We start from the raw sequence: 17,435 nt of genomic DNA, 5'->3' as shown, positions 1-17,435 counted from the left end.
AGACTAAGCCAGGAGGAAACTCATTCCCTAAACAGATCAATGATGAGCTCTAAAATTGAATCAGTAATAAATAGGCTACCAACCCAAGAAAGCCAGGGACTTGATAGATTCACAAGAAAATTCTACCAGATGTACAAAGAAGAGCTAGTACCATTCCTACAGAAACTATTCCAAAAAATAGATGAGGAGGGACTCCTCAATTCATTCTATGAGGCCAGCATCATCTTGATACCAAAACCTGGCAGAGACACAACAAAAAAAGAAATCTTCAGGCCAATATCCTTGATGAACATAGATGCAAAAATCCTCAACAAAATACTTGCAAACTGAATTCAGCAGCACATCAAAAAGCTAATCCACCGTGATCAAGTAGGCTTCATCCCCAGGATGCAAGGTTGGTTCAACATAAATGTGATTCATCATATAAACAGAACTAAAGACAAAAACCACATGATTATTTCAGTGACACAGAAAAGTCTTTTGATAAAATTCAACACTGCTTCAAGTTAAAAAAACTCTCAATAAACTAGGTATTAAAGGAACATACCTCAAAATAATAAGAGCCATCTATGACAAACCCACAGCCAACATTATACTTAATGGACAAAAGCTGGAAGCATTCCCCTTGAAAACCAGCACAAGACAAGGATGCCCTGTCTCACCACTTCTATTCAACATAGTATTGGAAGTCCTAGCCAGAGCAATTAGGCAAGAGAAAGAAATAAATCACATCCAAATAGAAAAGAGGAAGCCAAATTATCTTTGTTTGCAGATGACGTGATTCTGTAACTAAAAAACCCCATAGTCTCGGCCCAAAAGCTCCTTCAGCTGATAAACAACTTCAGCAAAATTGTAGGATACAAAATCAATGTACAAAAATCACTAGCATTCCTATACACCAACAACAGCCAAACCGAGAGCCAAATCAGAAAGGCAATCCCATTCACAATTGTCACAAAAAGAATAAAATATCTGGGAATACAGATAACCAGGGAGGTGAAAGATCTTTACAATGAGAATTACAGACCAGGTGTGGTGGCTCATGCCTGTAATCCCAGCACTTTGGGAGGCCAAGGCAGGCGGATTACCTGAGGTCAGGAGTTTGACATCAGCCTGGCTAACATGGTGAAATCTCATCTCTACTAAAAATACAAAAGTTAGCCGGGCATGGTGCCACACTCCTGTAGTCCCAGCTACTCAGGAGGCTGAGGCAGAACTGCTTGAACCCAGGAGGCAGAGGTTGCAGTGAGCCGAGATCGTGCCACTGTACTCCAACCTGGGTGACAGAGCAAGACTCTGTCCCAAAAAAAAAAAAAAAAAAAAAAAAAGAGAATTACAAAACACTGCTCAAAGAAATCAGAAAAGACACAAACAAATGGAAAAACACCCCCTGCTCATGGATAGGAAGAATCAATATCATTAAAATGATTATACTGCCCAAAGCAATTTATAGATTCCATATTATTCCTATCAGACTACCAATGACATGATTCACATAACTAGAAAAATCTATTTAAAAATTCATATGGAACCAAAAAAGAGCCCAAATACCCAAGGCAATCCTAAGCAAAAAGAACAAAGCTGGTGGCATCATGTTACCCAACTTCAAACTATACTACAAGGCTACAGTAACCAAAACAGCATGGTACTGGCACAAAAACAGGCACACAGACCCATGGAACAGAATAGAAAGCTCAGAAATAAGGCCCCACATCTACGACTATCTGATCTTTGACAAAGCTGACAAAAACAAACAATGGGGAAAAGACTCCCTATTCAATAAGTGGTGCTGAGATAACTGGCTAGCTATATGCAGAAGACTGAACCTGGACCCCTTCCTCATACCATACAGAAAAATCAACTCAAGATGGATTAAAGACTTAAGTGTAAAACCCAAAACTATAAAAACCCTGGAAGACAACCTAGGCAATACCATCCTCAACATAGGAATAGGCAAAGATTTCATAACAAAGACACCAAAAGCAATCACAACAAAAGCAAAAATTGACAAGTGGGATCTAATTAAACTTAAAAGCTTCTGCACAGCAAATGAAAATATCAACAGAGTAAACAGACAACCTACAGAATGGGAGAAAAATTTGCAAACTATGCATCTGACAAAGGTCTAATATCCAGCATCTATAAGGAATTTAAACAAATTTACCAGAGGAAAACAACCAACCCCACTAAAAAGTGGGCAAAGGACATAAACAGACACTTCTCAAAAGAATACATACATGTAGCCAAAAATCATATGAAAAAAGCTCAATATAACTAATCACTAGAACAACACAAATCAAGCCCACAATGAGATACCATCTTATACCAGTCAGAATGGGTATCATTAAAAAGTCAAAAAATAACAGATGCTGGTGAGGTTGTAGAGAAAAGGGAACATTTATATATTATTGGTGACAGTGTAATTTAGTTCAACTATTGTGGAAACTAGTATGGTGATTCCTCAAAGAGCTAAAAGTAAAACTACCATTCCTCCCAGCAATCCCATTACTGGGTATATACCCAGAGGAATATATATCATTCGACCATAAAGACACATGCATGCAAATGTTCACTGCAGCACTATTCACAACGGCAAAGACATGGAATCAATCTAAATGCCCATCAATATCAGATTGGATAAAGAAAATGTGGTATACATACACCATGGAATACTATGCAGCCATAAAAAAGAATGAGATCCTATCTTTTGCAGGAACATGGATGGAGCTGGAGGCTATTATCCTTAGCAAAGTAACACAGGAACAGAAAACTAAATACTAAATTTTCTCACTTGTGAGAGCTAAATGATAAGAACTTATGAACACAAAGGCCAGCCTTGAGACTGGGTCTATAGGTGAAGACCTGATGACTAGGGCTCTGGGGTCAACCTGGTGCTGGGGCAGGCCTGAAGCCTGGGGCTGTGGGAGGCAGCCTAGTGCTGAGGGTGGTCCAGAGTCCAGGGCCACTGCGTCTGGATATTGAGTCTGTGGTGGTTGGCCTGGTGCTAGGTAGTCCCAAAGTCTGGGGCCACTGGGGTCAGCCTGGCAGTGGGACGGGCCTAGAGACATTCCACTATGCAGGCCCGGAGCCTGGGGCTTCAGGATCCCTCCTGGCACCAGGGCTGGTTTGGAGGCTTAGTCCATGGGTATTGGCCTGGAGGCTGGGCTGTGGAGTCCTGCCTGGTACTGAGTTTTACTGAGAGGGCCCAGTGTTAGGCCCCAAGGCAAAGTCAGGTGTTCACTTCCCTCTCCCTCCCCGACATAGAGGGTATCTCTCTGCCCTCTGCTGCCTGGACTGGGGGGAGGGGCAATTTGGATGATGTAAAACTCTCCTCCCTACCCTCTTAAACACCTCTTACTTCTGTGCTACAACCCACTTGCTATAATCTCTCACTTGGTTTCCTTAACCCTTTGAGGGCATTTTTACGCATGGAGAGTTGTTCAAATTGATGTTTCTGTGGGTAGATGGGCACTGGAAAACCCTATTCCTCCATCTTGCTTATGTGTTGATCCACACAATAACCCCAGTCTGAATCTAGTAGACAAGATAAAGACCTCACTGTCTACTGAGATGTATGGCTCATGTCCAGAGTACCTGAGAGTCAGTGATAAGAAACTGCAATATCCTGGAGCTCACACACATCTCTGAACCCAAATCCTTGCAAAGCCAGGCTTCTGGAGATCCCTGTGCACATAACAAAGGAAGATTTCCAGGGCTGTGCTGGCATTAACCCATTAAGGTACCAATGCTGCACTCACAGCAACCTGGTGACCACGAGGCCCGGTATCCATCATGACTACTTAAAGAATGATTATTCTTTGAGTTAAAGCCCCGCAGTCACAGGTGGGACCATACCAGTGGCTCACATTTATATACTTTCATACTAGTTGATGAATAACCTCTGTCCAGAGCCCCTCAAGTCCTTTGGAGAACTCCAGCTGCCTTGGGCTCCTCCTACAGTCCAGCTGGAGGCCTCCAAAGGCTAGGGCTGAGGTTGGTTCTGATTGCTCATGTGGGTAAGCTTCCCCAAAGTCCTACTGGACACCACCCTTGGCTTACTATGTCCAGAGGACCAGTCTGTGCCTTGCATACACCTGGCTCCAAAGAATCCCAGGTAGGTACCTATGGAGTTACTTTGGTATTTTTCACAAGCTGTTGGCCTCTGAGTCAGCTCTCATTCCTGTATCTCCCCTGGCAAAGTGAGCCTGACCTTGGTTCCTGGTGCCCAGCTAATCCTTAGGAATGCATCTCCCAATCATCAGCCAGTCTCCCCTAGACTTCTCAGACAGCAGCCCCTTGTAAAAACTGCAGCCTCTGAGAGAGCTGGGAAAAGAAGGGGAGGTAATTTAATAATTACCCCTGTATACATGGGGCTTGTTCTATTGCAAGGGATAAAGACCCATTCAAGCTAGCTTGGTAGAGAGGATTTATTGTAAGGCTCCACATATAAGATTAAGGGGAGCCTCTGGGAAATCTGGGACCAGAAACTATATTAAAGTTTGCCTCAGTAATTCCAGCTGTGTATTCAAGGCAATTGTAGTTTCCAGGAAGCAGTTGCTAGGGGCCTTCCCTCTAATTTAGGGGTTGCACACACCAATACCTACACAGGCATGCACCAGTGCCTACATGGGGCAGGCAGGTAAGCTGAGTGTGAGCGTAACAAGGCAGGGTGGAGGCTGGTGGATGGGAGAACATATGGCCCAGGAAAAGCGGGCAGCTGCAGGCCCTAGCTCCAGCTGATTGCAGCCAGGACATGCTGACTCTGTGTTACAGAGCTTCTGGCTTTTTAAGAGAAGCCAAAGAGCTGGGTTTTTATGCAAAATATCCCAAAGTTTAAAGATTGGTAACAGATTCACAAAAATGCAGAACACGATATGGTCTGGATGAGATGAATCTTATTCCATGACTACCAGTGTTGTGCTTTTTCAGTTCTTTCACTATTGACCTGACCTGTCCTCCAATGACTGGGGAATTCCTTTGCTTTATTTTCGTTTTGTTTTGTTTAGACAGGGTCTCACATTGTCACCCAGGCTGGAGTGCAGTGGCACGTTCTTGGCTCACTGCAGCTTCGACCTCACAGGCTCAAGGAATACTCCCACCTCAGCCTCCCAAGTAGCTGGGACTACAGGCACACACCACCATGCTCACCTAATTTTTTGTATTTTTTGTAGAGACAGGGTTTCACCATGTTGCCCAGGCTGGTCTTGAACCTCTGAGCTCAAGTGATCCACCCAACTCAGCCTCCCAAAGTGCTGGGATTACAGGCATGAGCCACCGCGCCAGGCTGAATTCTTTCTTTACTTCCTATTCAGGCTCCTAAGGAAAGAAAACCAGCTGACCCAGCCAATCCTTTTGGGTCAGATCAGGTCAGGCCGTGTTTAGTTTGTCTTAAGGTCAGGGATCTACTCCTGCCTACTCTAATCAGCTGTGGCCAGCAGGCAAGACGGGATGTGGGAGCAAAGTGCATTCCCACTTTCGTATGACTCCAAAGCCCACTCTAAACTCCTGCACTCCATCCTGCCTCTCAGTTAGGTCAGAAGTCTGAAAAGGTCTGAAGTGACTTTTGTAGATATTACACTTTCCAAGAAGGGCTTTGGTGAAGAGGTATTTCAGCTTCCTCCTAAAGTGGCACCAGCTTCTTCTTTTTCTTTTCTCCCCGGCCCTCCACCCATGTTTTGTTCCATTTCTCCTAGTCTCCATACAAATCCAGCAAAGTGATTTTCTTGCCGGCTAGTAAAATTATAAAAACGATTTAAACTGCTCTTTTTCTCTCTTAAAACAGCTTTCTCCCTGTCAGTAAGAAGCAGGAAGATGAATGAAAGAAAACAGGTCAGCATTTCTAGCTTTTCAAGCTGTTTTTCAATAAGGAAAGAGGCAAAGAAAACTCCAGAGATGGATATGAATTGCATTGAAAACATTTCCTCCAGGAGAAAAGTCGCTGCTTCCCTGAGAGGGCTCATTTATTGATTTAATCAGCCTGCAGGAGCACCTTCTCCAGTAAAAGATGTTGAGTTGGAGTGGCCTGGTCTGCAGTGTGTGCTTACGGTGCTGATAGCACCACTGCCGCTGATGCCGACGGTGCTTTTCACCTGTGCCCACACGTGTGATGGGGGAAGATGCACCTCCCTGTGAATGCTGGCGTGCTCCATGTCACTCCAGGATGTCACTTGTCCTGATGTCCTATCTGAGTTCTCTGTAGGCATGCTACAAGAAATCTGATGACTTTGGGAGAAAGAAGATGATACATTCTTTTTTTTTTTTTTTTTTGAGACAGAATCTTGCTTTGTTGCCCAGGCTGGAGTGCAGTGGCTCAATCTCAGCTCACTGCAACCTCTCAACTTCTGCCTCCCGGGTTCAAGCGATCCTCCTGCCTCAGCTGCCCACATAGCTGGGATTACAGGCATCCACCACCATGCCTTGCTAATTTTTGTATTTTTAGTAGAGTCGGGGTTTCACCATGTTGGCCAGGCTAGTCTGGAATTCCTGATCTCAAGTGATCCATCCACCTCGGCCTCCCAAAGGGCTGGAATTACAGGCGTGAGCCACCGCGCCCGGCCAGATGATACATTCTTGATTCCCCCAAATTCCTAGAGTGTAAGAGCCAGAAGGACCCTCCACTCAACCCCTTTATCGTACAGATGAGGAAACTGAGGCCCGAGAGGCAACCTGCCCACTTGTTGTGACTGAGAGCTGAACCTCAAGGAGGACTGGTCTTTCCTATAAAACTCTCCCCTCAGAGTTGCTCTGGACTGATAGAGAAAAACGTGCACCCAGTCTCCAGGGGCAAGAGCAAGGCCCTATAAAAAGGATGATCTGTGTATTTATTCTGTCTCTTGTTGTCTTTGGCACGGCTCTGCCTGCCAGTCCTTAACCCTTTGCAGAGCTCTGGGCAGCGTCTCCATGGTGGATTAGGGTCTAATCACTAGGAGAAGGGCGAGGGCAAGCTCTTGAAAGAGTAGCAAATATGGAAAGTTCCCGAGTGAGCGTTAGGGGAGATGTACTGGGGGACCGGGGGGACGGACCTGGAGGGAGAACGAGGGCGCGAGAAAACCGTCTTCCAGGACTTCCCACCAGCGGAATGGCACTTTTGACAGATTTTCCTTATTTGTCTGTGAAGGGGATTCAGATCATTCAAGATGGACTCAAGTGGTTGCTAAGGCAACAGTGTTACAGTCGTCACTGTCATGGAAACCCGTTCTGTGGCGTAATATAAATATTTTCCTTTAGGAATGAGAAAGAGAGTTGAGTGGGCGACAAGTTGTTTTCTAATGCTCACGCGCTATGGCCGAAGTCTGCAATGGATGGGAGAAAGGGGAGGACCAAATTAGCTCAGATTCTTTACAGTTCACAGCATCAGCTGTTTTATTTATTTGTTTTAGATAGCGAAGCCAAAAAAAGTTGGATGGGGGCAAAAATGCCAACTAAAATAGCTCATAGTTCTGAAGTAGAGAGAAGTCAGAATTTCCCGTTTTCTCTTGTTTCTCTCAGGGATGGTCTATATGACTGGCGCTCCTTGGAAGCAGTGCTGAGGGCATTATCAAGAGTTTCCAGGGCCTCCTCTTTCTCCTGAAACCTTCTTCAAGGAGGGTAAAGTTTTAAGAGAGTTCAAAAGTACCACAGACTTCCAGGGAATAGTAGTTTTTGTCGTGACAAGCATGGACATTTTCTTGCGTCATGTACTATTTCAGAAGGTAGAGACCACAAAAAGGCTTCTTACTGTGGCCACCGTGGACATCTTCCCACATCTACAAGGTGTTGTGGCCACATCATTGCTGCACCCAGTTTCCTCAGAAGAAATACCTGTTGCTTAGGTGGGGAGACAGAACCCATTTACCTGGGAGGTAACTTCCAACGCCAAGATTCTAGAATTTCATGGTTCTTCTCTCAATAGTTTATGATTCTAACAGTCAATGGTTCTGTATTCAAAGATTCTCTGGTTTTATTATTCTAAGAGCCTGCTTTTAAAAATTGGGTGTCAGAGCAAGCCCCGAGGGCAGCAGCTGTGGGCAGGCTGGAGGAAATGGTCCCTGTTTAGGTGCTGCACTGGTCTCTGCATGATCAATCCCAGCGCCCAGAACACCGATATCAAGGCCTTTGCCTGGCTCTTCTCCAGATGGTTTTCTATTGCAGGAGTTTTGCTGGCAGAGAGCTTATGAAGAAACAGGCTTACAGAAGGCACGGCCAGGCTGCAGGGATGACTGGGACCTGAAAACAGCCAGCATCATCATTCTTGAAAGTTTGCTGACTTTCCTGTATTTATTTTCCATGGACTATGAGGAGGAGAATAATAGTGGTTCTCTAATCAAGGGGCATTCACAGAGGGGCCTAGCCAGGCAGCCTGACCCTGTAGACCTGCTCTGCTCCAGAGAACAGTGGAGGGGAGGGTGGCTTTGCATGGAAGCTTACACTATAGTAGGATGAAAAGATTGGCTTGGGAGACTGTGAAGGCTCAAAATTTTTATTCCAGTCTATCTACTAGCTCCCAGGGGATGTGTCTGGGAGAGCTCTCAGTTGTGTGATGCTGGGAGGAGCTTTAGATCCCCTCAGCCCTGGCTTACTGGTCTGCAATGGGAGAATAGCACAATTAATGGAGCAGACAATAACCAAATCTGTTAAATGATTTCAGGTTTAGAAACGAGGCATGTATACGTATTTAACAGTTCTCAGAATGTCAAGGATCCCTCCTCAGAGCAAGAGCTCGAATTTACAAAAGAAGCACTACCTCCTTTATCACATAGTAAAATAAAGGACCGTGTCTGCTCCAGGACATGGCTGGTTACAATTTTGTTTTAAAGAAATCACCAGGTGGGTGCATGGATAAGGGATCCTTGATAAGTTGTTTTTTTTTTTCCTCCTCACTGTGTAAACAGCTTTATTGCTGTTTCAGTTTATATAATTAACACTTGCTCTTTGGAACAATTTGAACAGTGTATAAAAGTGTAGGAAATAACTTAAAAGTTCATCTTCCCACAGGAGCTGAATTTTATGAAATAATTAATTAATTAAAATAAAAAACCATTTAAAATCCCACCACCCTGAGATGATCCCATCAGCCACTTGTTGACAATATTTTGCATATACATAAGTTTTAGACATACACATATTTAACATAAATGAGATATTTTTATTTTGGGAGATATTTTTATATCTCCCAAATCAGTCTTTTGCTGTCTTACCTTCCTGCTTCCCTTCTGCATGTCTCTTTATCTGCACCAACTCTCCTTCCCATTCCAGGTAACCCCTGAAAACCACCTGGTGTAAGCCACCTTGTCTAGAAACCAGGGAGGCAGGGAAGAAATAAGAAGCATATTCTAGAAATCTCTTCAAGTCTTCTGAAACAGATCTAACCCTTTTATTAGCTTAGTTCCCGGTCGTTTTCTGGTTTTTGTTTGTGTACTTGTTTTCCTTTTGTTTGGATTTTAGTTGGGGGTTTGGGTGGCTACTTGGAACACGGGTGCCATGAATAATATTGAATCTATGGTCATTAAACGCCCATGGACTCTTGCTTCTATCAGATAGATTCCAAGGAGAGGGACTCATGAAGGGAAGAGTACGTAGATTTTTTCATTTTAAAAGGTAGAGCAAAGTTGATCTCCAAAAGAGGCACTATCACATTTCTACTTATGAAGAAAGACAGTATCTGGGGGGAAACTTCACCCCAATATTCCCATTAACTAGTAGCTGTTTTCATTCTCTTCAACTTTTTGCTATTCAGGTGGGGCTAAAGTGATACCTCATAATTTTTTTCTTTTTCTTTTTCTTTTTTTAAGATGGAGTTTCACTCTTGTTGCCCAGGCTGGAGTGCAATGGCGTGATCTCGGCTCACTGCAACCTCCGCCTCCCGGGTTCAAGCAATTCTCCTGCCTCAGCCTCCCAAGTAGCTGGGATTACAGGCAGGTGCCACCATGCCCAGCTAATTTTTGTATTTTTAGTAGAGACAGGGCTTCACTCTGTTGGTCAGGCTGGTCTTGAACTCCTGACCTCAGGTGATCCGCCTGCCTTGGCCTCCCAAAGTGCTGGGATTACAGGCATGAGCCACCGCACCTGGCCAATACTTCATAATTTTTAAGGGCTGCATTCCTCTAATTATTGGGGGTGCTGGGCATATTTTTATATATTTATTGGCCACTTTGTATTTCTGTAAATTGTCTGTTCAAAGCTTTTGCCTTTTTTTCTCTATCACTTTTTTTACTTTTTAATTTAGAATAATCTTAAACTTTCAGAAGATAGCCACATGATATCACGGGGGTCACTAACTTTGATCACTTGGCTAATGTTCTTCACCGCAAAGTTATTTTCCCCAAGTTCGGGGTTTCTCTTGACTTCAGCTGAGCCACACTGCCCAGCTCTCCAACCAAATCTAAATACTGCAGCTGACACATGAGAAATCCTGCCATTTATAGACAAAGGCCAGTCATGGACGGGCAATGATCTTGCAAAGTCTGCTGGCTTCTCCACTAATTGTTAAATGACAATAATAGCTGTTCACACTTTTTGAGTTCTTACTGTATGCCGTAGGAAGCCTATGGAATCTTTTATTGCTACTCATTGATTTCAAGCAACCTGTCTTAATCCTTAGCAGTGTTCTTTTTGTCAATAATTAATTTTTCATCCAAGTAGCAGATGTTCATAACTTGAAAGTCAAATGGCGCTACAGGGCCCATATTGAAAACCCCAAAGCCTTTACCCACGCCTTCCACCATCCCATTCTCCAGTTCTGTTGCCTGGGGCAACTATCCACAAAACTTTTAGCTAGCTCTTCTAGTATTTGCTTCTATTTTTCTTTCTAATGTTTAACCTATCATTTTTAGCCATTTTCTACTAACCTCCCACCATGGTAGATAAGGACTTAGTTTTCATATACTAATGCTCCTTCTCATTTTGTCTCTTGCATCTTCCAAATATAGTTATTTCACAATGTTTGGTTAAATTGACAGTCCATATTTCATTCTGGCTATACAAATATTTTTCATGGTTGAATCAAGAAGTGGGCTATATTATGCTTTAATTCTTATATGGCCCTTAGTTTTTCCAGGGCTTGTAATTTATGTTTCACATTTGCGTGCTTTTCTGCAGTGTTATTTCCCCCCAAATGTTCCATCATCCCTAACTTATTCCAATCTACTGAATTTTCTCTAAGCTTTACCACATCACTTTCATGTATTTTTTCCCCAGAGACTGTTTCTGGTTTAAAGTTCTTTCTCATAGTATCATGTTCTTGTTTTATGATGCAATATCATTTCTTTTTTCCTTTTTATTTTTTTTTTCTTGAGAGAGTCTTGTTCTGTTGCCCAGGCTGGAGTGCAGTGGCATGATCTCGCCTCACTGCAACCTCTGCCTTCTGGGTTCAAGTGATTCTCCTGCCTCAGCCTCCCGAGTAGCATGCCACCACACCCGGCTAATTTTTTTGTATTTTTAGTAGAGACAGGGTTTCACCATATTGGCCAGGCTGGTCTTGAACTCCTGACCCTGTGATCTGCCCACCTCGTCCTCCCAAAGTGCTGGGATTACAGGCATGAGCCACTGTGCCCGGCCGCAATATCATTTCTAATGTTCCCTATATTGTCTGTTTCCCCCCACATTCCTTTTTCTTTTCTGGATATTTTGTCTCTCCTATGTTGGAAGCTTTCCTCATATGTCATATCCTTGGCTATCTATTCATGTTAAGAGTGAGGCACTAAAAGTCTTGTAGGAAGCTCTGCAGTGTGTGCATAGAGCTGTTAGCTGATTGGCTTTTCTTTAGGGTTTTCAAACCCTGAGCCATCATTTTCACAGGGACAAACTCAAGTATCAGCTTCCTGGCTATGTGGGATGAGGAGGGGACCTGGGATCCCAACACACTCTATGCAGACTTTCAACCAGTGACTCTTGTTTTCAGACCAACGCCTCATCCCTTTTCTCAGCAGAGCCTCCAAATCCCAAACCTCTCATGATTTCTCTGGGTTCCTCTTCATGCCAAATTTTTTATGACAGACCCTTAAGTTATACTTTGCTCCTGTCCACTGAGTCAGCAACCACTTCTTCGTTTGCTATTTGTCCTCCAAAAACTCATCTAAATGTCTTGTCTGCTGTTGCTCTCCTGTTCTTCTTGTCCTTGTGCCCATTTTTATTCTTTACTATCATTTTGGCAAGGTTTTGGTAGGGCAGAGAAAGAACAACTGTAGTCAATCAGCTTTTTAAAACTGAAACCTATTATATGAGTTCTAAAACATTGAGCCTCCCAAAAGAAAGGAAGTAGAGTCTCGATTCCTTTCTTCTAGAAATCTCCTTGCCACCTACAGAAACTTGCAGACTTATTTCTTTTTTCTTTTCTTTTTGTTTTTTGTTTTGAGACGGAGTCTCACTCTGTCACCCAGGCTGGAGTGCAGTGGCACGATCTCAGCTCACTGCAAGCTCCACCTCCCAGGTTCACGCCATTCTCCTGCCTCAGCCTCCCGAGTAGTTGGGACTACAGGTGCCCGCCACCATGCCCGGCTAATTTTTTTGTATTTTTAGTAGAGACGGGGTTTCACAGTGTTAGCCAGGCTAGTCTCAAATTCCTGACCTCAAGTGATCCACCTGCCTCGGCCTCCCAAAGTGCTGGGATTACAGGCGTGAGCCATCATGCTTAGCCACAATCAAACAAATTTTAAGTAAAATCTGAAAAACTGGGAAGAAAAAAAATTAAAAGAGGCATTTTGAGCAAAGTGCAGGAGAAGGAGGAAACAAATGTAATAACTGCCTCCCTCCTGCCAACTGGTTGACTATAGAAACTTTGCACCTTATAAAATGTGGTTTCACATCATGCAAGGGCCCAGCTGGAGCAGTAGGTGAGAGAGCCACAGGGAATGAGTCTGAGGAACAACAAATGGTACAAACCTTTGATGAGGCTGGTGAGGAAGGCAGCAGGGGGGCGACAAAGCCCCAGGGAGAATGATTTGGAGGAATCTAAGAGATCATATTTCCCAACACTCTGTGCCTAAAGGGCCTGCCTGTAAGTCATACAACCAGTTAGTACAAAGTCTGGGAAAAGAGGAGTCCCAGGGCTCCCCACGGCTCTTCCTCCTAACCCCGCAAATGGGAGTGACAGATCTGGAGAAAGTATTTAATTCCACAAAGCAGGCACAGCCCTGTGATCTGCGTTAATCTGATTTTATCCACCCTATTCTGGCTCCTCCTGCAGGGGATGGAATCTCAAGGGAAACTCAGGCTTCAATGAGCTGGGCTACCTCTCATTCCAATGACCTGCTGCCTTGGCATCTCCAGAGGCCAGTGGCAAAGAGTGCCCCTCCAGCCTGACGTGTTGGGTCCAGAGAAAAGAGTGGGGGATTATAGCTAAACCACTTTACCAGGATTCTTGCAGAAACTGAGGCCCAAGGTTGAGGCCTAGTTGAGAAGAGAGCTCAGAGGCACTTCACTGAGGTCTGAATAAGGAGAGAGTTTTGAGAGTTTTTGTCCATCCTTCCTCTTGTGCAAGGAAAGAACATCTTTCTTTCCTCTGAACAATATAAGTCTGTTGCTTGTTCAGTTGCCTTTATTCATTAAGGACTATCTGAAGCATGTGTAGAGATTAGATAGGAGAGAATATTTAATGAGGGAAATTTCTATGAAAATAAAAAGCAGTACAAAGATGAGTGGTTGGAGCAGACAATAAACCCAGTTTCTGAGTCCAGAGGGCAGCCAAGATTGCTACACGTTAGACTCGAGACATCTTTAGACGGTGGAGTGAGGACGGCAGTGGCAAGCTGACAGGTTTCCTGGTTTGCAGTGTGAATGTCTTTGGTGATGGCATAGACATGAGGGCCACAGTCATGGTTATTTCTCAGTGTAGATGGTAGAAGATGTGGATGAAAGAATGTCAAATATGCATGACAGCAGAATCCAGTTACAGGTGAATAACAAAACCTCCAAGGCAATAAACAAGACCAGAATCTGATAACCCACAAGGGTGTGCTATAGTTTTTCACTGCAACACAAAACGTTCTCTATGATCAGCCCCATTTCTGATTAAAGATAACCAAACTAAGATTATTCTTGCTTGTGAAATAAGTCAAATCTTATTAGATTTGGCCTGATTATTTAGATAAGTGCAATGAGAATGGTAACTGATCACACAGACCTTTTGAAGTTTTCTTTGCTGGACATCTCCATGACGAATCTCAGATAAGACTTTTAAAATGCTTCTCAAGACCAGACAGCCAAGCCAGGAACTCACCACCAGATTTTACTGGCAATACCTATAGATTTGGGTTAATTCCTCTTCTTGAGGTCCCCAAAATTTCCTGGGTCTGCTGGGAAGTGGCCTTCCTTGCTCAATTGTATGGCTGGAAACACTGTAAGCCAGGTACTGAGACAAGTAGTCTGTCCTTCCTTCCTTCCTTCCTTCCTTCCCTTCCTTCCTTTTCCTTCTTTCCTTCCTTTTCCTTCTTTCCTTTCTTTCTTTCTTTCTTTCTTTCTTTCTTTCTTTCTTTCTTTCTTTCTTTCTTTCTTTCTTTCTTTCTTTCTTCTCTCCCTCTTTCTCTCTCTCTCTCTCTTTCTTTCTTTTTTTTTTTGAGACAGAGTTTCGCTTTTGTTGCCCAGGCTGGAGTGCAATGGGTGTGATCTCTGTTCACTGCAACTTCCACCTCCTGGGTTCAAGCGATTCTCCTGCTTCAGCCTCCCAAGTAGCTGGGAATTACAGGCATGCACCACCACGCCCAGCTAATTTTGTATTTTTAGTAGAGACAGGGTTTCACCATGTTGGTCAGGCTGGTCTCAAACTCTGGACCTCAGGTTATCTGCCTGCTTTGGCCTCCCAAAGTGCTGGGATTACAGGCACAAGCCACTGCACCTGGCCCAAGCCAGGTTTTCCTAAGAGAGTTTTTGTAGGCTCCATATAGTCAGCCTTGATTTCTTAAAACTGTCTAGTCATATCTGAATCTATGTATCATTTTCAAATATAACATTATAGTCAAAGCCTTGGCTATGTAACCAATGTTTCCAATTACATCTTTAATAAAAAGAACATATTCTTTTTATTTTTATTTCATGGGTCCATAGTGTGTATATATATATACATACATATATATATATATGGGGGTACATGAGATGTTTTGATACAGGCATGAAATGCATAATAATCACATCATATAAAATAGAGTGTCCATCCCCTCAAGCATTTATCCTTTGTGTTACAGACAATCCAATTATGCTCTTTTTTTTTTTTTTTTTTTTTTGAGACGGAGTCTCGCTCTGTCGCCCAGGCTGGAGTGCAGTGGCGGGATCTCGGCTCACTGCAAGCTCCGCCTCCCGGGTTCACGCCATTCTCCTGCCTCAGCCTCCCAAGTAGCTGGGACTACAGGCGCCCGCCACTACGCCCGGCTAATTTTTTGTATTTTTAGTAGAGACGGGGTTTCACCGTTTTAGCCGGGATGGTCTCGATCTCCTGACCTCGTGATCCGCCCGCCTCGGCCTCCCAAAGTGCTGGGTATGCTCTTTTAGTTATTTTCAAATGTACAATCAAATTATTATTGCCTATAGTCACCCTGTTGTGCTCTTCAATACCAGGTCTTACTCATTCATTCATTCTTTTTTTTTGCACCCATTAACCATCCCCACCTCCCCCCATCATTCTCCTGCTACCCTTCCCAGCCTCTGATAACCATCCTTCTACTATCTCCATGTGTTCAATTGTTTTTATTTTTATGTATTTATTTATTTATTTTTTGAGAGGGAGTCTCCCTCTGTTGCCCAGGCTGGAATGCAGTGGCATGATCTTGGCTAACCGCAACCTCTGCCTCCTGCGTTCAAGTGATTCTCCTGCCTCAGACTCCTAAGTAGCTGAGATTACAGGTGCCTGCCACCACGCCTGGCTAATTTTTGTATTTTAGTAGAGATGGGGTTTCACCATGTTGGTCAGGCTGGTCTTGAACTCCTGACCTCGACTAATCTGCCCGCATCAGCCTCCCAAAGTGCTGGTGTGAGCCACTGTGCCCAGCCTGTTTTGATTTTTAGATCCCACAAATAAGTAAGAACATGTGACGTTTGTCTTTCTGTGCCTGGCATATTTCACTTATAATAATGATCTCTAGTTCCATCCATGTTGTTGCAAATGACAGGGTCTCATTCTTTTTAATGGATAAATAATACTCCATTGTGTATATGTACCACAGTTTCTTTATCCATTCATCTGTTGATGGATACTTAGGTTACTTCTAAATTTTGGCTATTGTGAATAGTGCTGCAACAAACATGGGGGTGCAGATATCTCTTTGATAGACCGATTTCCTTTCTTTTGGGCTTATACCCAGTAGTAGGATTGCTGGATCATATGGTAGCTCTATTTTGAGTTTTCTGAGGAACCTCTGAACTGTTCAAGGAGAACAGACTCTGACTGCATCTCTGCAAATAATTATATTACCGTGAAAATAAGAATACTCAATATGACTTTCCAAATTCTGGAAAGTCTAGGCAAGGATAAAGGGTAAATGTTTCATTCTGTTTACAAAAGCATACTCTATTAATGAGTTACAGATAGCTTCAGAGGAAAGAGAAAGGGGTTCCTTAAATCCAGCAACAATATTTCAAACAAAAGCCATAACTATTCTTCATCAGTTCATTCCGTTTCATCTAATTAATTCTTGTTCTGCTTGATCTTAGTTGTATTAGTCTGCTCAGGCTACCATAACAAAATGCCATAGGCTGGGCAGTATAAGCAACGAAACTTCTCACAGTTTGGAGACTGAAAAGCCAAGATCGAGGTGCCAACATGATTGGTGTCTGGTGAGGGCTCTCCCCTTGGGTTGCAGATGGCCACTTTCTCACTGTGTGCTCACATGACCTCTTCTTTGTGTAAATGTGGAGAGAGAGAGAGAGAGAGAGGGAGAGCGAGCATGAATTCTCTAGTGTTTCTTTTTTATAAGAACACGAATCCTATTAGATCAGGGCCCCATCCTATGACCCATTTAACTTGAATTACTTTCTTAGAGGCCCCATCTCCAAATACAGCCACCTTGGGGATTAGGACTTCAACATACGAGCTTTGGATATGATACAAACATCAGTCCATAGCACTTAGATTAGCAGTTTTATGAACCCGTAAGCTTCTCCACTAGAGTTATGGAAATTCTTACTCAGTCCAGTGCTATGGTCTCAAAGTTATGTGAACAATGCTATCAGAATCCTGTAGCCCAGAGTACTTGACAGTCCTTTCTATGAGTCTCTGAGACAATTCCTTTTTGCTGAAAATGAAGCATGCTTGCCTGTAGCAGGTTGCGAATGCTTTCAGAGAAGAATCAGAGTAAAACAAAAATTATCAGTGAATGACAAAAGCCTTAAAATGACCATGGCTAAAGATCTGCTAAGAGTTCATAATAAAAAATACGCAAATGACAAGGAAATTCGGTTGTCTCTGTGGCATGCAACATTTTAAATATTAAAATGATGGAATTATGATTGATAACACTTTACCAGTACAT

The 17,435-nt window shown here is 43.3% G+C and overlaps 1 long non-coding RNA gene across 1 annotated transcript in view, besides 1 other annotated feature; it reads left to right on the top strand.

Moving 5' to 3' along the window:
* Positions 5,283 to 5,577: an enhancer, noted in NCBI's record as "tiled region #13089; K562 Activating DNase matched - State 9:DNaseU". NCBI's record gives its function as "activates a minimal TATA promoter and a strong SV40 promoter by Sharpr-MPRA in K562 cells {active_cell/tissue: K562}" and the evidence as "EXISTENCE:reporter gene assay evidence [ECO:0000049][PMID:27701403]".
* Positions 7,256 to 17,435, top strand: part of LINC02052 (long intergenic non-protein coding RNA 2052) — a 38,681-nt gene continuing 28,501 nt past the window's right edge. Inside the window, exons 1-2 of the long non-coding RNA NR_033844.1 lie at positions 7,256 to 7,811; positions 8,627 to 8,805. This is a non-coding gene — a long non-coding RNA (long intergenic non-protein coding RNA 2052). The remainder of the gene's footprint in view (positions 7,812 to 8,626; positions 8,806 to 17,435) is intronic.

This window comes from Homo sapiens, chromosome 3 (assembly GCF_000001405.40).
Source record: "Homo sapiens chromosome 3, GRCh38.p14 Primary Assembly".
NCBI classification, from domain to species: Eukaryota; Metazoa; Chordata; class Mammalia; order Primates; family Hominidae; genus Homo; species Homo sapiens.
This window is presented reverse-complemented; position numbering and strand designations above follow the sequence as displayed.